Here is a 20,705-nt window from a genome sequence, read left to right as displayed (position 1 = left end):
TCAATAGCCATGAAACAACAACTACCCTTTTATCTCCTCCCCTGAGGCTCTGACTGATACTATTCTACTTTCTGTTTCTAAGAGTTTAACTATTTTAGATATTTAACTGGAATCACACAGTGTCCTTTTATGACTCATTTATTTTATTTACATAATGTCCTCCAGATTTATCCTTAGTGTAAAAATAATCAGATCTCCTGCTTTTAAAAAACTGGATAATATTCCATTATTTGTATATTCCAATTTGTCTTTATTCACTGATTCATTGAGGGACATTTGGGTTGCTTCCACCTATCAGCTGTTGTGAATAATGTTGTGCAATGAATATGGATATACAAATAACTCTTCATTTGGCCATATATATGACAGTTTATTTCTGTGCTCTATTCTGTTCCATTTGTCTGTGTGTCTGCCTTTATGTCAGTACTAAATAGTTTGGTTACTGTAATCTTGTAATACATTATAAAGTCAAGGAGTGTGATGCCTCCAATATTATTTCTTTTTTTGAAGGTTGTTTGGCTCCTGAGAGTCACTTTAGATTCCATATAAGTGTTAGAAATGTTTTTTGTATTTCTGCCAAGTGAAATGACAGTTAAAATTTGATAGAGATCTCATTGAATCTGTAGATCATTTTGGGTAGTGTGGACATCTTCACAATATTGTCTTCCAACCCTTGAACGAGAGCATGCAGAAGAGTGTGTTGTTTAATTTCCACATATTTGTAGATTTTCCATATTTCTTCTGCTATTGATTTCTAATTTTATTCCCTTGTAATAAAAAATGATTGTAATATTTTAATCTTTTTTTTGAAACAGAGTTTTGCTCTGTTGCTCAGGCTGGAGCACAGCGGCTCAATCATGGCTAACCAGAGCCTCGATCTCCCAGGCTCAAGCAATCCTCCCCCGTCAGCCTCCTGAGTAGCTGGACGCACAGGCATGTGCCATTATGCCCAGCTAATTTTTAAATTTTATATTTTCTAAAGAGAGGGTCTCTTTATGTTGCCCAGGCTGGCGCCGAACTCCTAAACTCACTAATCCTCCCACCTCAGCCTCCCAAAATGCTGGAATTATAAGAATGAGCCACAATGCCTAGCCCATATTTTAACATTTTAAAATTTGGTAAAACTTGTTTTGTGTCCTAGTAGGTTATCTACTCAGGAGAATGTTTCATGACCTATTGGAAAAAGTGTGTATTCTGATATTGTTGTGTGAAGTGTTTTTTTTCTTTTTTTTCACTTCTATTTGTAGCCTACACAGACCTATTGGACTGAACAAAGCAGGGTGAATGCAGGAATAAAAGACAAGAGACAAAGGGGTATATTTGGAAAAAGGGGTCAGGGGCACCTTGCCTCTAGTGAACAAGGTACCTGAGCTTTACACAGCCCTCCATATTTATTAGGTAAGAGAGATAGTGAGAAGCGGGGGGTGGTTTTCCACCAGCAGCTTGATTCACAGCTGACTCGAGAGACTACATTCTTAGAACAATAGGCACTGGATTTCTCAGTAGATAACTTCAAGGAGCCTGGTGCCAGGGAATGAGGCCCTCAGCAAACCTTTTGGTGGCAGGGCAGTGTGAGTTTGCCCACATCCTGCATTCATGATAAACAGTTTGCTGTTTGATCATATAGCCTCCAGTGGAATGCTGAGTTGGTCATGTCCCATGGGCCTTCAGCTTCCTGAATCTATTCACTGTGATGAGTGTTTTCTATATGTCTGTTCGGTTTACAGAGTTTGCTACTGATAGTCGGATAATTATGTCTCTTACTATTTTTGCATAGCTATTTCTTTCTTCATCTGGGTCGATCTTAGCTTTATACATTTGGAAACCCCGATGTGAAGTGTACATATATTTATTATTAACACAGCTTCCCCAGTGAATCAACACTTGTATCATTATATACTATCTTTATTTGTCCTTTAATTCAGTTTTGACTTAATGTGTATTTTGCATAATTATGACCCCTCTTGCTCTCATTTGATTGCAATCTTCCTAGAAGATATTTTTCATACTTGCACTTTTAGCCTATCTGTGTGCTTAGATCTAAAGTGAGTTTCTTATAGACAGCAGAAAACAAATCGTTTTTTCTTTCAATCTCTTTAGCCAATTTACACATTTCTGTTGGAAATTTTACTCTATGTATATATTCATTTTAATTGTGAAAAGAATGGACTACTTCCATTTTGTTAATAGTTCTATTTGTTTCTTGTAGGTATTTTCTCCTCTTTTCTGCTCTTACTGCCTTCCTTTTTATTTAATTGATTTTTATAGTGACATATTTCTATTTAATTTGCCAAGGCCAAGTTGCAAGATAAAAAGTTTGCCTTTAATCTAGTCTCTCCACATCAGATCAAGCCTATGGACAGATCTAAAAACATGAGGTTTCCCTCTTCGGGGGCCCCACTTTTTGGACTGCTGTATGATCTCTGGAGGATTGATGAGTCCACACCAAGCAAAAGTGGACAGCAGTGTTCTACCTGTGAACACTTGTTTCTTGTAGGCCCTACTGTCTCTCAGGGCACCACCTCTCTTATCCTTTAAACAGGAGTGATATTGGCAGAGAAGGGGCATTCACTCCTATCTGGCAGAAAAGGAGGATTCAGGCCCTTTAACTTCCCTAAGGTCAGAAAAGTCAGAGCCCTCAGAGATGCACTTGCAATGTGGCAGCCACTGGGCACAGGGGCTACTGAGCAACTGTATTGTGCCCAGCATGAACTAAGATATGCTGGGGAGAAATACAAGAAAATATTTAAATATTTAGTTACATATACATATGTGCATAAAAATATATAATGCTGGGTTAAAGAAACATATGTCTATGTGTGTGTACGTATATATGTACACATATATATGTTTCTTTAATTATTTCATTCTGATTATATGTTAAAATATTTTGGATATATTGAGCTATGTTGTTAACATCAATTTCACTCATTTTTCTTTTTCTTTATGCTGCTACTAGTAAATTCTAATTGTCACATGTGGCTCACATTTTACTTCTATTGCACATTGGTGCAATAGAGGATTGCCTAATTTCAAAGCTCAGTTTGCCTCAAAAGCCAAGAGGCCAGAAAGATTGTAAAATCTAAAAATTAAAAATAATTGTAATTGGTTGGGCATGGTGGCTCATGCCTGTTATGCTAGCACTTTGGGAGGCCGAGGCAGGCGGATCACTTGACCTCGGTTCGAAACCAGCCTGGTCAACATGGTGAAACCATGTCTCTACTAAAAATACAAAAATTAGCTGGGCAACATGGTGGATGCCTGTATCCCAGCTACCTGGGAGGCTGAGGCAGAAGAATCACTTGAACCTGGCAGGCGGAGGTTGCAGTGAGCCAATATCTCATCACTGTACTCGAGCCTGGGTGACAGAGTGAGACTCTGTCTCAAAAAAATGTAAATAAAAATAAAAATAATTGTTATTATTTTGTTTCTATTTTGAATAATACACACACACACCCCTCCCCCTTCACACACACACAAATAAGGCAGAGAAAGAAAGAGAGAATCTTGTTCTGTCACCCAGGCTGCAGTGCAGTGGCCTGATCTCAGCTCACTGCAGCCTCTACCTCCCAGGCTTAAGTGACCCTCCCACCTCTGCCTCCCAAGTAGCTGGGACCACAGACACGTGTGACCATGCCTGGCTAATTTTTTCATTTTTTTGTAGAAAAGTTTTGATGTGGGGCCCTCACATTCTGTTGCCCAGGCTGGTCCCAAACGCCTGGATTCAAGAGCTCCTGTCCCCTCAGCCTACCAAAGTGCTGGTATTAAAGGTGAGATCCACTATGCCTGGCCACATATATACAACTTATAAATAAAAATAACCTTATATACAAGGTTAAATGCAAATATCCCACAGTGAAGGCCGGGCTTCAGCATAAGGAGGAAGTCCTGCCTGAAAAAGGCTGCGGCTTGGAACATTTTACCCTGTTGTCATCTGGCTATGAGTTGGCTCACATCTTCTCTCATTCAGAACCTGAAGGGGTGGGGCCTGGGGCCGTATTATCCAATCACTAGTGCTGGGGTAAAAACTGTCTTAAAACTATTCTTTTAATGCTTAGCAATACTAATTTTTAGTGAGAAACTTAAGATTACTTAATTTAACATAACCAGACTTTAAGATTTTAAATTACTAAAAAAAAAAAAAAAGAAACTTAAAACGATGACAGAGTTACTTCCTCTAATGTTTTTTGGTGAGGGTTTCAAATACCTATGTCATATATTGAAACCTACAGTTCTATAAGCCCTACCCTTAAATCAAAACAACCCTGATGCTATTGTGAACAGGTACTTAGCATAAATCCTACCCTTAGGCAAATTTATATAGTGATTTCAATTGTCCTTCACATTCCCTTTCCTGTGATAAGTGTCTGGGTTTAGGGGGTCACAGTGTGAGGTTCCACCATCTTCAGCTATCTGAGACATAGCTTCTATTAATAAATGTTCCTCTTAAATGTTTCTTTCTGAGAAACTTGATTTGTCAGCCTCATTCTTCAAACTCTCAGCTCCTTTGGCCTTTAAAGGTAGGTATATATATATATATATATATATATATATATATATACTCACAAGAAAACACCCTCATATATATAGTCTGTCAATTTCTCAAACATTGTTATGTGGTTCATGACTGTAATGTGTGCCACATGTAGTTTTGTACATGAATAGTATATTTTTTATAGCTACTTTCTATTACACATCACTAAAATACATGTTCAGTAAGTGCTCACTTAACATCATTGATAGGTCCCTGGAAACTGACTTTAAGTGAAACAAAATACTATATGCCATGGAAAATTAACTCTTGTTTATATCAATTAGCCAATGGTAAAATTGGTTTTATTATATAGTACATTGTTTTACTTAAAGTCACAGTTTCTGAGAATCTATCAAAAAAGGGAGAACATACTGTCATTAGTATTACAGTATATGGTACATTATAGCATTACACTATTATAGTATGTTATTGTAGTCTTAGCAATTGGTAGTATAATGTGTTTCAGTTTCTCCCAAGGTCACAGAATTATCCAGACCAACCAATAACAACTTCCTGTGGGAACCAGGTGCATCTCACCCTCTTGATACTACAAAGCCTTCCCCAACACCCCCTGTTTGTTCTCTCTGCTCCCAAGTGCAATCCCTGTGTGGGTCTGTATACCTTATATAATTTCCTTCTTCCATGATTATATGTAACGAATAACTGCTGTCAATCTCATTTGTCCAATGATTGGTGCCATGGTTTTAACTGTTCCAGTAGTACAAGGGTGGTAATTTATCCCTCACCAATGGGGTAAAGGGGAGGCTAATCAAACAATTCACAATACAAACTGGATTAACCAACTATGACTGAGGACATCGGCTCAACTTTAACTGCTTTTGGCCTACTGATTTCATGATACATTAAAAGTCACCTCAGTCAGAGCCACCAGTTTCTGGTGGGCTTTTGCTTTGGTCTAAATAGCCATTTGTGGCCTTTATCATGAGTTGCCTTCCCTGACCACATTAAAGCACACTCATCACCTAGACATATATGGTCAGTTGACTCTGCTGCAGCCTGATGTGTCATCATATTTAGCCTTTGTTTGGCATGCAGCTTGCAAGACACTTGCCTTTCAAGGCAGTGAAAACACAGAACCTTAATCAGTGAGTACTTCAGTCCTGATTACCAAGAGTCAGGCTATATCCCTGTGGTCACTTCATCTGGTCTGCTTACCATTACTAAATGCCCGGGTAGTCATATGAACATTGCTTATTATTGCACACTCTCAGGAAAGGCCCAGGGATGGTTTTTTGTAAAATTGCAAAAAACAAAAAGGACTTTTACTTTGGAGAGAATTATGCACGTCACTCAGTTGCTCTAACAAGTGCTACCGTCATGGGAGCAAGAACAGTGACCTTGTCTTTCCTGAGCTGCCGCTTCCTTTGCTCCTGTCACATGCACTCTCACGATGAGGGGCTCATTCCTTGTGCCTTATGGTTCAGGCACTGATGAGAAATAAAAAAGAGAAAGATAACTTAATATTAGTCCCTCCCAAAACTTACTGGGTAATTCTCTCATCCTAAATCCCCTACTCATCGTGTAGGCTTTTAGCACTGCTGCTTACCAGTATGCTAAAGGTGCAGACTTAGGATCAGAAGTTTGATGAACTCAAACAAAAAGACCACAATGCATATGGGTGCTAATCCCAGTGAAATGGAGTGGCAGTAAACACCTTCAACCAAAGAGAAAACAGATCACAAATAAACAAATAATGACACAACTCAAGAAACTAGAGGAGGAAGAACTTATCCCAACGTTCCCAGATAATAAAATTAGTAAAAAAAATCGGAGCAGAAATGAATACACTGAAGATTAGAAAAACAATAGAAAATGTAGAAAAATTGTAAGAGCTTGTTTTATGAAAACATGAAGTTGACATATCTTTAGCTAGACTAAGAAATAAATGCTTAAATAAATAAAATCAGAATTAAAGGGAATACATTACAACTGGTAAAACAGAAATAAAAAAAGGTCATAAGACTGCTATGTACACAGACTCCTATGTACAATGATATCCCACCAAATGGGATAAGGGAGAAGACATGAATATATTTCTAGACAAGTACCACCCACGAAGACTGAAGCATAAAGAAATAGAAAATATGAATAGATCAGTAATGGGTAAGGAGTTTAGATCTGATGACTTTGTTGCTGAATTTTACTAAACATTTAAAAAGAACCAAATCTTTGAAAAAATTGAAGGAGGAGGAATACTTCCAAACTCATTTTATGAAGCCAGCATTACACTGATACAAAAACCAGAGATGGACATTACAAGAAAAACAATTACAGGCCAATATCCCTGATGAACATAGATGAAAAATCATCCACAACGTAGTTGCAAATGAAATTCAAAAGCACTTTAAAAGGATCATTTATTATGATCAAGTTGGATTTATTCCTGGGATGCAATAATATTTTAATATGTGGAAATCAATAAATGCCATACTCCTTATTTACACAACAAAAAGATTAAAAATCATGACTTTTTTATGCATGCCTAAAATTATTTTGACAAAATTTAAAATCCATTCCAAATAAAATCTATAACAAATTAGGTATAGAAAGAATATACCTCAAAATAAAGAGATATGTTCTTTATAAGCTATAGGACAATCCCATGGTTAACATTATTGTCAATGGTGAAATTTTGGAATTATTTTTAAGATTTATTATAAGAAAAAGATGCCCACTCTCACTACTTCTTTCAACACCGTATTGGAAATCCTGCTCAGAATCTAAGACAAGAGAAAAAAGAGCATTTAAATAAGAAACAACAAGTTCTTCTATTCATGGAGATTAACGCTCAGGTTTTTGCAGATTAGATTTAACAGCATGAAATCTGGTACCATCCAGGAATCAAAGGATATAGGACTTTAGGGCATCAATTATTAAGAGGCTATAGGAAAGCAGAAATGCTCCTGGATGTTTCCATTGTCCACACACAAAATTTCAACAGACCAGCCCCAGGAAGTAAAGGCACATTCCTGACTACTGTTAGTTGATGAGCTTTTCACCAAAAGCAGAGATGTGAGACCTGGCAGGTTTCAAAGACCCCTCAAGTGCTCCATACCTTGAAATTCACTTCCACAAAGCTAGAACACCATCTGTTCCTGAGGGATCAGGTTATCGTCTGTTTCTTTTAGGCACTGGCCAGTCAGGCTTTAGTGGACACGAAGCCACAGATTTTTAGTGTAAAATGCCTAATCTATCATAATCTTTAGGTAGATATTTGGAGGCCTGCACACTTAAATGGGTTGGTGAAATGTCATACCAGACACATGGCTGGGAATTGGGTTTTTCTCCTCCGCTCTTAGCAGCACCTTTGTAACCCAGTGATTACCCCCCTCATGGCTCCACGGCCACATCCGCAAAAAGGGTACTGGTGAACGTGACATTTTCACGAAGCCACAGCCCATGGTCACTCCCTGCAAAGCTCTGAACTTGCGCATTCCCAGGCCAGGCCGTGGTTGTCTTTCCAAGGCGGCTCAGCTTGTGCTTTGCTTGGAGAGAGCGGAGGGCAGCAGCACAGTGACAGCGTCTGGGACCTCAGACCAGTTTCCACAGCCACTTATGAAAGCAGACGGCTCCATGGGCTGGAGGAGGTGGGACGCTCTGGAAAGAACTCGGGTGCAAGTGGGAAAGAAAATCGAGCTGAGCAGCGGGAAGTCGAAGTCGCGTGAGTGAGGACCAGACACTCTCGATTTAGGCAAAGGCGGGGTGCACTTCCCAACAACACATCCTCCTCACTGGCGAGACCAGGCCTGCCCTTCAAGTTCCTCTCCTGATTTAATCCCCTTGGCGAGGGTTTGGCATGAAATCAATGGCCAGCAAGCTTGGTAAACGAAGCCGCCTACACCGCCCTCCCCCTCCCTGCACGGCCGCGCCCCGCCTCCGCTCCTGTCTCAATCTGGGATTGTCCTCCTGTAGCCCCACCATCCACCGTGGGGAACGGTGGAGAGACTACAACTCCCAGTATGCACCGCGATGCGCGCCTCACCCTGCATCTCCCAGCCCGCAGCCAGCTGGCATCCTAGACCCTCTGCCCTGCGACCAACAGCCGGGAGCGGACCAGACACCAGAACTCCCGGAACGGTTGAAGACGGTTCCGCTCCCTGTCCCGCCTTTCGCAGCCCAGCAGTTTCGCCCTGCGGAGAGGAGCCTTGCTGTTTCCAAATCTCTCCTGCTGAAGAGACATTGGAGCTAGGGCGGCTAGTTTCACCTGGTAATTGTGACACCCTGTCTCCTCGAGCTGCAGGCTTTTATGCTTGTCATGTTCGAAGTTTGATACCTTGCAGATCAACAAAGGGTCGGTGGCCTCTCACTGCCTCCGCCGCAGGGTTGTCAAGGTAACGCTCCTCAGACAAGGGTGGGGCGCGGCCCGCCCCTTTTCTCACCCCGCCTCCTCCTCAGCCCCACCCTCCTTCGCTCCTCCTCTTGTCACTCCCTTTCAGACATGCGCAGTGCGGCCCGTCCCTAGGGCTGGGTTAAGGGCCGCGGATGTGGCAGTTCTCAGGCCTCTTGGGATCGCCTCAAGAAGCCCCCTCACGAGTGTCTCGATTTCCTGTCAGCCAACAAAGGGCCGTTCGCCTTTCATGGCCTCCACAGCAGCGTTGCCGTGGTAACGATCCTCCGCCGGACGTTGGCCGCACCGCGCCCCTATTCTTGCCCATCTCCCGCTCCGCCCCGTCCCTTCTCGCTCCTCCCTCTTGTCACACCCGTTCAGACATGGGTAGTGTAGCCCGTCCCTAGCGGCGGGATAAAAGTCCTGCCCTTTCACACATGCGCAGTGCACCCATTCCTAGGGGTGGGGCTAAGGGGCCTGCCCTTTCGGAAATGCGCAGTGCAGCCCGTCCCTAGGTGTAGGGTAATGGCGGCCGACCTGGCAGGTCTCAGGCTCCTTGGGATCCCCTCGAGAAGCCCGTTCATGAGTGTCTGAAACTGTCACTTGACTGCCAGAAGTGAAAACATCGTGTCCCTAGTCACCTGCCATTTGCCTTTTCAAAACCATTTCCTCTGTTCTCTAGGCTGTCACAAATCCTCTGCACCCCAGGAGTGCCGCTTGGACCCCCGGGCTCGCTGCGTGGTCCATATCTAGGTCGGGCCTCTCACGGAGACTTTCCCACCAGTGTAATAAAGAGGAGAAAACGTCACAGCGGAAGGGCCTGACCCTGCTGCATCCACTAAGGAAACAGCTACGGGGATGGGACCCTGGAAGCTGCTGTGGGAGCCTCATCCACCGCTTCTCTGACCCCACCCAGGCTGCTTCCCAGGCCTCAGGGTCTTAGTGTGGACCTCCGGGCCGTGATTAATGCAGGTCAGCAGGACCAGAGCGCCCCTTGGTCCCTCCCAACACATGAGGGTAGTTTGTGTGGTGAGGTCAGGGATAGTGTCTGCGCTTCTACCCTGAATAGGGCTCCCTTGGAAAATACTTTAATATCTCTTTTTAAATACCCCCTTGGACCACTTTTAATAGTTTTCTGATAGAACTAAACAGTGATCATTCTCTTAATTCATGTTTCCATTAAGTTTTTCAGGTTAAGTACTGCACGACTACTCGCTTCTGAAACTGATAGACACTGCCTCAGCTCCGTGCAGGGCAGACGCACAAGAGCAGAATCTCCGTGGGACATCTCTCTGGAGCATCAATATTACTGCAGTATTTGGAAGAAACAAATTTAAATAAGTTCTAAGGTGAAGAATGGAACATTTAAGACAAGTCTGGAAAGTCATCTGCCTTTAATAACTGTCGTTTGTCCTTAACGTCAGACTTTCTCCAAGACCAAAACTCTAAGAACTTATTTCCATTCTTACAAATAGTAAAAATGATAAATCATATCAAGTCAATTGAAAGTCCTGCCTGCTGCTTTCCTAAATCACAATATGGCCTTGGTATGGTTTTATTTGTACTTTTGTGGGGGATTCGTGGATCTTTAGATTAAAAAAAAAAAATAGGTTTTTGAACAATTTTTGCAAGTTTGCAGCTGTTAGTTATTGATTTATTTTTGCAACCCATCTAATTCTTCTGTCTCTCTCCTCTCCTCAGGCTCAATAATTCCATGGGTCTCTAAGGCTGTGTTTATTTTCTTTAAATTTTGTTGATTTACTTTTATACTCCATTTGATTTTTTCTATCTCTCACCTTTTCTCAGACTCAGTCATCCCACAGGTCTGTAAGGCTCTGTTCATTTTCTTTAAACTTTTTTTTTTCCTCTCCTCAGATTGGATAAATTATATTGCTATGTCTCTGTTTCTGAACTATAGAAAAGCTCAAAATTACTATTTTTATTTCTCATTTTTTATATGGCTATTTTTTCTCTGCTGATGTTTCACATCTATTCATTTATGAGAATATTTTCCTTTGCCCTCATGAGCGTGTTTATAATAGCTGCCTTCAAATTCTTGTCTGCCGTTTACATCTTGGACATCTTGGAGATGGCTACTGCCTGCTTTTTATCTTGTGTATTTATTACATTTTCACGTGTCTTCACGCATCTCTTGAATTGGAAATTGTGCCCTGGAGACTGTATACAAGACTGGATTAAAAAGACTGGATTCTGTTTTGTCCCTGTGAAGAGTGTTGTTTTTAAAAGATGGTGTTAAATGGGCTGGATTCTATCTTCAATACTTATCTCTCCTATGGAAGTCATAGCCAAAATATGCATTCAGTTTTTATATACACATATTTCATGTATGTATTGTATATAGAAATGTTTCTATAATGATATATAATAATTTACCCAGGATTCATCATTTTTCTGTGTGAGAGTGTTAGTTCAGTTAGCTACTTCATCATTAGTGGAAGCCAGAACCTCAGTTTTGATTTTTGAGTGTAATATAAAAAATTACACAGTATGGATACTTTTACATCAATTTTTAATGCAATATTATATTTGTGATATTTATGCTGTTACAGATATCTACAGTTTGTTCATTTAAAAAAGTCCTTTTTTACATTGTGGTAAAATATACATAAAATTAACCATTTTAACAATTTTTAAAAGTGCAGGACAGAGGAATTAATCATACTCACATTGTTCTACAACCATCATCCACATTCATAGGGAAATTTGTTCATTTTGCAAAACTCAAACTCTGTTCCCGTTACCTTCCTTTTGGCCTCTAGGAACTACTCTTCTACTTTGAGTTTCTATGAATGGAACTACTGTAAGTACCTCATATGAGTGGAATCATACAATGTAGTAAAGAAGTCACGAGGAAGAATAATACACACTGTATAACATGCTTATTAATTTAAATAAACAGAGATCAGTAGTACATGGTGATTATAGAGAAAGACAGATAAAAAAGAAAAAGCAGTTAGAAGGGTGTGTAAAATTTATCACTATGGTGTCTCAAGTTTTAGAGCAGTGAGGCCCCGGCCCCAGACACATTACTGGTCATGGTGAAGCTGGGAGCCCAGTGCAGCTGTCTGACTCCCAAAGCCAACACTCAGGCCAAATGTCACTGAGCCCTGAGGCACTCTGCCCCTGCCAGCCCAGGCACTCAATGGCCCTGAGATTCACCATGGCCTGTTCTTGGTCTTGAGGGTGTTGCTGGCCTGCTGGAATAGGGGCCCGTCTGACAAAACAAGTAGGAGGAGCTTCAGAAAATAGTGGCAGCTGTGAGGCTACCAGGAGCCACACCTCAGGCTTCCCACTGCCTGCCCAGGGTCCCCATGCAGCAGGCCTAATGTTGACCAGGGAGCTATGGCCCCAGGTTCTCTGAAGCTGGCCACAAGATAGAGTCTTCTCCTAGTCTTTGCTAATCTGCTAGGCTCTCATCTTTTATTCTGACTGTGCAGCTTCATGCACTGGAACCAAACCCCAAATTCCTCCTCAGTCAGAAGATGACAATTATCTCTTGTCACTGAAGCAGCTGCATTTCCTGGAGGACTTTGATCTGGAGACAGAAGGAAGGGCAGGATTCTGACAGGTCCTGGGTGGAAGATGACAAAGGGAACTTGTGGGGGTGTGAAGGGGTAGGGACAATTTCTAGGGCCTTTCTTTTAAGGGGTCCTACCCTCCCCTCCAATCCCATGTAGCCCCAACCTGTTCTCAAGAGTTGGATATAAACAGTCCCTCCTCTAGGAGTTTATCATTGATTCTATTCCCCTAATCAAACCCTCCATTGGGATGGGTCTCCTGCTTCTCTGTGTATCAAACCTTCCCAATAAATCTAAGATGCAGAGGATGGAGCCAAGGAGTGTCTTCCTCAGGGTGGTGTCTGACTTTCACATCCCCACCCTCCCTCAAAGCGACAGCGCCAGCTGCTCACCTTCTTCCTTTATTAGTGTTGATTATATGTTCTTAGGAGGTAGACAGCCAAGATTCATGAGAAAGGCTTCCTGACACAGGACTAGACCTCATCCCTTATACTTCCTATGCTGCACCACCACCAGGGCCACCAGGGTCAGAGCATGTGCATAAAACAGGACTTAGACCTGCATCAGGTTCTGGGCTCCACAGAAGGGACACTGAGGCTCAGTGACCTTTCTCCCTGATTCTCTGTGATGATAGACAGGGAGACAAAGGCCTTGGAAACAAAGAAGTTACTCAACAATTTAGGACCTGCCTGTCTTAGGAGGGGCCCAATTTCTCTCTTCTGCAATGGGTACCAGCTAAGGCAGAGGCTGAGACTTAGCTCTGCAGCTTTACTACTCAAGGAACAGGAAATGGTGTCTTTGCTGGAGGCTCCGTCACTCATAGATAAGACGGAACTGACACTGCCATTTACAGGGGCATCTGGTAGGCTCTCAGGAAAGGGGTTTGCTGAGTGCTGCAGTCTCAGGATTCAGTCCAGGACTCTGTCCTCGCAAGCTTCAGGATCCTGGTCCCCACCCTGCCTGCCTGCCCCAGTCTCACTCACATCTATATAATCCTCTATGGCAATTTCCAGCATCTGCAGGTTGTTGAGAAGTGTGCCCGGGGTGGGGGGTGGGGGGGAGGGGAGTGGGGGCACAGCAGCCTGTGTTATCAAGGTGGTAGCAGTGATGAGCACCAATTCTCAGCTAACTGCACAAGACCTCTCCTTTGAACTCTCACCAACCTATTTCTCCTTGACCCCCGTACCCAAGTCTCTCACTCAGAGCATCCAAGGACCTTTCACCTCCTTGCCCAAAATCTTTCCCTCCTCTTTCCACAGCTGACCTCCAAAGATGCTAAGCACTTCTTAGTTACCTCTATGGTGTGATTTTAATAAATCACAAAGTCAGATCGTCCCCACCCTCACTCTTCGTCTAATCTACTCTGAGCCTAGCTCTCCCAGGCCCTTTCTCTAGTCTCTCTAATGAAGGCATTCCAAGCATTGTGGCCACAGGAGGGCAGGGCTGGAGGAGGAAGACACCCTGGTCTCTTGATGTGGAGAACTCCAGCTGGGAGGGAGGAGCCCTGTCCTTGACTCTCTGGAGCCCCTCCCTACCATAGGCCAATTCACCTGCTGCTGCAGCCCCATCTGGACTCTTTAAAAAGGTTCCTACCTAGTAGAGTCAGAAACAGGGTCAGTGAGACTGTGCCTGTCTCACAGTTACACTCCAGCCCCAGCGACCTCAGATCTTGGATAACTGCCTGAGTCAGCCGGTGTAATGCTCCCACCAGCTCCAGTGAGTCCTGATTCTAGATTTACTCCCAGCTTTAACACTCACTGTGTGTGTAACCTTGGGCATGCAGCCAGGCCTTCCTGAAACTGTTTTTTCATCTAGGAAGTGTGATGAGAACAACACCTTCCTCACAGTACCTCCTGAGGACTCAGTTGCATGTGGCTATCACCATTGTTCTCACCATCATCCCTCTCAGGAAGAGGTGGGCACAAGAATTCTGAAGTTTCCTTCATCCTTTGCCCCTTATCATGACCCTGTGAGGCCTGCACAACAGGCTTTCTGCATTTTCCAGTTGAGGAGACAGGCCCAAAGAGGGTGTTGACTTGCCCAGGAGCCCACAGGAGAGGCTGTCTTCTCCTCCCACCTGAAGAGTCTGCCCTACCTGGCTTCACACCACACACCAGCACCATCACTGACCAGGGTCCCATCCTCTGGACTCTGGGATAGATGTTCACATCCCAATCCAGGCCCAGCTGTGGTGGAAAGAAACCTGGTATCTTGGGAGGCCTGGTTGAGCAGTGCCAGCTTGTCCCAGCTTCACTGGAATTGCTATCCCACAAATTGGGTTTGAGGCTATGAAGAAGACTTCACCTCTTCGATGATCCACCGAGAGAGATTCCCACACAGAGCTCTCTCTTTATCCACTCCCTGCAGTTGGCCTGCCAGTGAAATCACACCTGTGCAGTAGTCAGGCCTCCTGGCCCACCCGCCAGCTGCCAGCCTCCAGTGTCTCTGATACCCATGGGTAATCATGCCTTCCTTGGCAAGGCTGCTGAGATTCAGAAGGACCTAAACAGATCTTTGGCTCAGATGGGTTGCTTCAGCCTTGTGTCCTTGGCCATCTTCCCTTGCCTTCCGAAGGGCCCTGCCAGCCTCACTGTACCAAGCCCTGACCCTAGCGGTCTCTCCGTGGGGACCACATCTCACCCACCCTCCATTGCCAGGGCTCCTGCTCAGCTCTTCTCACTTTCCCAGGACAAGCCTGGCTTCACAGACACATCTAGATCCAGCGCTTTTCTCTTCGTGGTGTTCAAAGAAAGAGTATTATTTTTTCTCTAACTTGACCTATAACCTACTTATTTTGAAGATATCCAGGCTGCAGGAGATCTCTACCCATCTACCCAGAAGGCATCAGCCCTTGCTTCAGTACCTTCTCATTCCACTCTGTCACTAAATGTTTATGACCTCAAGAAAATTTGAAGAAGCATAAGCAAGTGCAATTCCATTGGTACCAGGGCTGTAAGGGTGGGGCCAGATGGGTGAACCTCACTGGGGATAAATAGAAATTGTGTACAAGATGGACATTTCAAGGTTGGTTTCAAGAAACACAGGGAAAGCTAACTTTCATAGGTGACAGTATGCACAAGTTAAGCTTCCTAACAGCCACAAGTTCACAGGTTCTTCTATCTAAATGTGGCAATGTGTGACGATGTCTGAATGGCCATAATACACATACATAGAGTAATTTATAGCATTCATTTTTGTATTAGAAATTGTGCATTTCAGCCACAAGTTTTTTGTACATGATGGATAGTCCCACATTGCTTGAAGATTGGAAGAGAGAGCACTTTATGAAATGTCCTTTTGGACACATTTTCATTGACGTTTCTATGTCCCAAGAGGCAATGAGACAAGTCATGATAAACTGGTCGTGTCTTCTGGGGTTACACCTGAACTTCTTGGTGTCAGGACCGAGGAAATCAAGGACACAGATATGCCAAAGGTGAGGTTAGAGCAAAAGTTTAATGGGTGAGAAAAAGAGAACAGCTCTCTGCTGCAGAGAGGGATCCAGAAAAAAAGAGTTGCCATTCTGCAGTGAAATACAAGTGTTTTTATAGATGAGCTAGTGGGAGGGGGTATGTTATCCACATAGGGCATGAAAAACTGGTTAGGACCAGGTGTGTCATCTGCTTAGAGCATGAATCTCTGGCAGCTCACACCCCAACCTTTTATTATGCAGGCAGATTCTCAGCCTGAGCTACTCCAAGTTGCTTATCTCTTTTCTACTGTGCATATGCTACAAAGAGGGGTGGGGCCCCCCATGTTGGATATGTCTGGCCCAAGGTGGTCATTTCTACCCATGCAGCTGCAGGCATCCCTGCCCACACAAGCTTCCAGCTTCCTTTTGTATGATTGCAGCCCAATTTTCCAGGCTGCTCTTTGTTAAAGAGAAGTGAATTCCTGGGTTGCTTTCTGTTAGAAGGGATGTTCTGTTGAGAACTCTTTGCTCTATCTGCCTAGCTAGTTTCTTTCTACATCTGCTCTCAATGACAATTATTCAGTTTTAATGGGGTCCTGGGGGTGGGAACAGATAAATTTGAGACCACAAAGTACCTTAGAATAAGAATTCACCCTTTAGTCAGCTTTAGTGTGAGTTGCACATCTATTATAATATTGGCTTCATGCACTACTGAATATAACAAGAAGGGAAAATGTGTATCTTTTAAAAATCTAGATGACAAATGGACTTTCCACAGATTCTTTGTGTGTTCCTGATTTAGAATTTGTTCATTCCACTGTAGTTTGTTTTCATTGAAATCACCAACTGATGAGGAAGCCTAGGCTGGCAAGCAGGACACGGTGGATTATTTGCAGGAAAGATGTTTTTGTGGGGACCCTAAAGGGTCAGGCACTGCAGCCCACAGGAAAGCCTCAGCCATGATTCTCTGTGGCGCTGCTCTGGTGGGGTAAGGCAGCCATGCAAAGCTCTGATTCCCTGTCCTGAAGGGTGACATTGGCCGGGCAAGCCCCAGCCTTCAGGAAAAAAGGACAGACAAGGGAGTGCTTCACGTTCCGGCCTTGTTCCGGCCTTGTCATGAGCTCCACCGGCAGCCTGCAGTGGGGCACAGCTTCTAGGTGCCTGGTCAGCTCTGGTCCTTCAGGAGGTGAAAATGACTTTTCTCCTGGATTCTCTGCCCTGTTGGCTGGGCCTGGGAAGGACTCAAGGTCTGCATGGCAGTTTCTGAGTCTCCAGCACCCAGCTGTCTCATTGTGATGATGACAGGGAGAATGGCCAGAAGTACCGGGGTGGGGAAAACGAAGAGCCAGCAGGAGAAGGCGAGCTTCCAGAAGCCCCACCACAAATGCTTAGTGCCTGGGTAGGCACGGGGATCGCTGGGTTTTGCCTGGGAGCAAGTCCATAGGCCCTGCTGGAGATTGCCAAGATAACCACCCCCTGCCAGAGGTCACCAGGGATTGCCTGAAAACCTTCGGAAATGATGCATGCCCCTATTGCTCAAAAACTGGAAGAAGCTGCAGCCTCAGCAGGTTATCCAGGCCACTGAGTGGGGCAGCGGGCCTACACTGAGTGGACTCCTGCATTGGCAGTAGGCAGCTCTCCTGACCCATCCACCAGCTGTCTGCTTCCAGTGAGCAAGATCTTCAAGGCTGATCAGACCTCCAGTTGGCAGGGCTGATGAGATTCAGTGCGACTTGGTCAGATCTTTGGCCCAGATGAGCCACTTGAGTTTCAGTGTCCTGGGCCAACTTTCCTGGCCTTCAGAGGGCCCCTGCCAGCCTGAGTGAGCCAGGCTTGGCTGCATCTTCCTGGGAGCCCCATCTCACCTGCCCTCCATCCCCAGGACTCCTGCTCAGCAGGACAAGCCTGGCTCCAACAGACATCTCTAGATGCTGTTTCTCTTTGTGGTGAGCAAAGAAACAGAATGAGTTCCATTTTTTAATTTTTTTCTAATTTTACCTATAACTTATTTATTGTAAAAAGGTTTGGGCTGCAGGAGACCTGACCCACCCACGCAGGAGGCCTCAGTAGCCTCCCAATCCACCCTGTTACTAAATATTTCCACTCCTAACAATATAGGGGGAAGCAGGAACAAGTGCAGTTTCACTGCACCAGTGCTGTGAGGATGGGGCCAGAAGGGTCCTACCCAGTAGGATTCAATAGGAATTATATAGAAATAAACATCTCAATGTTTGTTTGGACGGATTGACATGGAGAAATTTAATTTTGATAGGTTCTAGTACACAGAAGTTAAGCTTCCTAACAGCCATGAGTTTACAGCTTCCTCTTTCTGAATTTGGCAGTGTTTTTGATGTCCAAATTGCCACGATGTCCACACATATTTACAATAGTTTATATTATTCATTTTGTATTACTAATTGTGCACTTTGGCCAACAGTGTTTCATACATCATGGTTGGTTTCCAACCTCGCTTGAAAATTGGAAGTGACAGCCCTTTATGGAATGTTGCTTTTGACACTCTTCCATTTAAGGCTCTGTGTCCCCACAGTGCTACGAAGACAAATAGTCATCACTCTTCCATTTTGAGGGGGCCAGGGTAAGCAGATGCAATTTGAGAATACAAAGTACCTTGGAAACAGAATCATCTTTCAATCAGTTTTAGTGTGAATTTCATTTACATTAGAATAGTCTGTTCATGCACTCATAAGATTTCAGGGAGGGACAATTGTCACCTTTGAAGAATCAAAGTGACCAATGGGCTTCCCTCAGTATTTTGTTTATTTGTTTCTGGAACTTAGTCATGCCATTGTAGATCGTTTCTTTTGGAATCACTGGGTGATGAGAAACCCCAGGCTGGAGAGCTGGACACCGTGGAGTCCCTGCGGGAGAAGTGTTATTAGGGTGGCCTAACTTGGAAGGCACTACAGCCTGTGGGAAAGCAGCATCCAAGATTCTCTCTGGCGTGGCCGGGTGCTGGGTGAGGTAGCCAGCCCAACAGCTTATTCTGTATCTGGAATGGTGTCTCCCAGCCTGGGCATGGCTTCAGTTTCCAGGAAACAGGCACGGGCCAGGGAGCACCTTACCTGTTTACTGCTGCGATGTGTGGGGCCTGTATCCGCCACTGGGCACGCCACCTCTTCAAGTGGGGTCCTGTGCATTCCTTTTGGAGGCTTCAAAAGACTTTCCTCTCTGACTCCCGGCGTCTTCACCTGGACACTGTAGGATCCCAGATCTGTGTGTTTCCCAAGTGTCTATAGCGCCAGGTGCCCCATTGTGACAGGGAAGATGACCAAATTAAGTGATTAGGGCCGTTTGAAAAAAAAGCAGGAGAGATGCTGTATGGAGGAGGCCTGACATGACTGCCTCTAGCCTGCGGCTGCTTGTGCTATGCGCAGGCAGGACTGGTCTCTTCCAGGGTGATGTGATCCGCTGTGCTGAAGATTCTCACCATTTCCTTCCTTTCCCCATCGGGGCACCTGGGTAACCAGCTGAAGCAGTAGTTCCCCATCCGGAACAAAGACTGCAGACCCTCGCATGGGCTCCAGCCTGCAGGACACAAGCGTGAGCCTTGGAGGACCCCACATACCTAGGTGGTTGTGGGCTAGACCTGTGGCCTTCACTGGGTTCTTGACTCATTCCTGGAGTGTGAGGGTTTTGTTCTTTTTTAACTGGAGGTGGCAGATGACTGTCCTTCTGGACTTCCTATATGCTCACCTGACCCCTGCGGGACCTGAGATCATTGGGGTTCCCAGGTCTTTATGGTATCACGCCCCCATTGTGACAACAAGAAGGATGACCAAAAGTATGCCGGTGGTTGAGGAAGATAAAAAAGAGGAGTGGAGTTGCAGGGAGGAGGCTCGACAAGATCACCTCCAGCCTGGGGCAGCTGGATTGGCGAGTCAGGGGCTGGCTCCTGCCTGGGCAAGACAATAAGCCATGATGAACAATGCCATTATCCTCCTTTTCAGTTGGGGGTACCTGGGCATATCTGAAAACCTTGAAAAAGTGTTTGCATTTTCAGAGCTTAAGAAAAGGAAGAAGCAGCAGCTACAGTGGGTTTTTCATGCCTTCCAGTGGCATTGAAGAACCTGCACTGAATGCCACCTGGAAAACAGCCTGGACCTGCACCTTTGGGCCGGGGCACCCGTGGGAGCTCAGCCCTTGCTGCCTCAACCCTTTTTGGATTCTTTTCTCCCCAGACTGTCCCAGAGTTCAGGTCTTCTCGTCTCTTGTCTGTCCAGTGAAGGTACAAGGGTGGAAAGGTGAGGGTGTGGAGTCAGGAGCTTTGTTCCACTGCTGGGCATAGTGAGAAGTCAAAAGAGAGGTTATGATCTCGTTGTGCTTGAAGGGGAGAGGCCAAAGCCTAAGACATTCTGCCTTTTTAGGGGAATTACCTTTCAAGGCTTATTTGGTCTTCACTAGCCTTTACATCTGAGGATGAAGGAGTTGAGGCTCTGTTACATGGATGTCTAAAGAGATCATAACTCTCACATTGAATGACACAGAGACTGATAGCTCTAGCACAGTACCTAGGTAATGTGACTCTCTTTTGCTACGTGTGCCCTTCCTACATAAGGAAATGTGACATACCACTGGGCCAAGCACCCAGGAAATGTGACTCTCCCGCCTGTGCCCTGCCTGTATTGGGCAATGTTGTGACACATCTCAGAGCTGAGCACCTAGGTGATGTAACTCCTTTTTTGGGAGCTGTCAATGGAAGGGATTGTGACATATGTTTGGCCAATCACCCAGATGATGTGACTCTCTTGCCTATAACTCAAATTGGGGAGAAATTATATCTTGACAATATTGAGATTTTATGTTCATGCACATTAAATGTCTTTCTATTTATTAAGATCTTCTGTGATCTTT

The 20,705-nt window shown here is 44.4% G+C and overlaps 1 protein-coding gene across 5 annotated transcripts; it reads left to right on the top strand.

Annotated features, from left to right (window-relative positions):
- Positions 1-6,790: 6,790 nt before the first annotated feature.
- Positions 6,791-11,100, top strand: LOC102723713 (TP53-target gene 3 protein). 5 transcript variants are annotated; one of them, XM_017030127.2, is made up of 4 exons: positions 6,791-8,886; positions 8,992-9,158; positions 9,565-9,854; positions 10,075-11,100. In XM_017030127.2, the coding sequence occupies exons 1-2, from the start codon at positions 8,525-8,527 to the stop codon at positions 9,026-9,028; spliced, it is 399 nt and encodes a 132-aa protein (XP_016885616.1). In that variant the 5' UTR covers positions 6,791-8,524; the 3' UTR covers positions 9,029-9,158; positions 9,565-9,854; positions 10,075-11,100. The 5 variants fall into 5 exon arrangements, with proteins under 5 accessions (XP_016885616.1, XP_016885615.1, XP_011544540.1 ...); XM_017030126.2 differs by having other exon boundaries at positions 10,067-11,100; XM_011546238.2 differs by lacking the exon at positions 9,565-9,854.
- The last annotated feature ends 9,605 nt before the right edge of the window (positions 11,101-20,705 follow it).

This window comes from Homo sapiens (genome assembly GCF_000001405.40).
Source record: "Homo sapiens chromosome 16 unlocalized genomic scaffold, GRCh38.p14 Primary Assembly HSCHR16_RANDOM_CTG1".
Classification (NCBI taxonomy): domain Eukaryota; kingdom Metazoa; phylum Chordata; class Mammalia; order Primates; family Hominidae; genus Homo; species Homo sapiens.
This window is presented reverse-complemented; position numbering and strand designations above follow the sequence as displayed.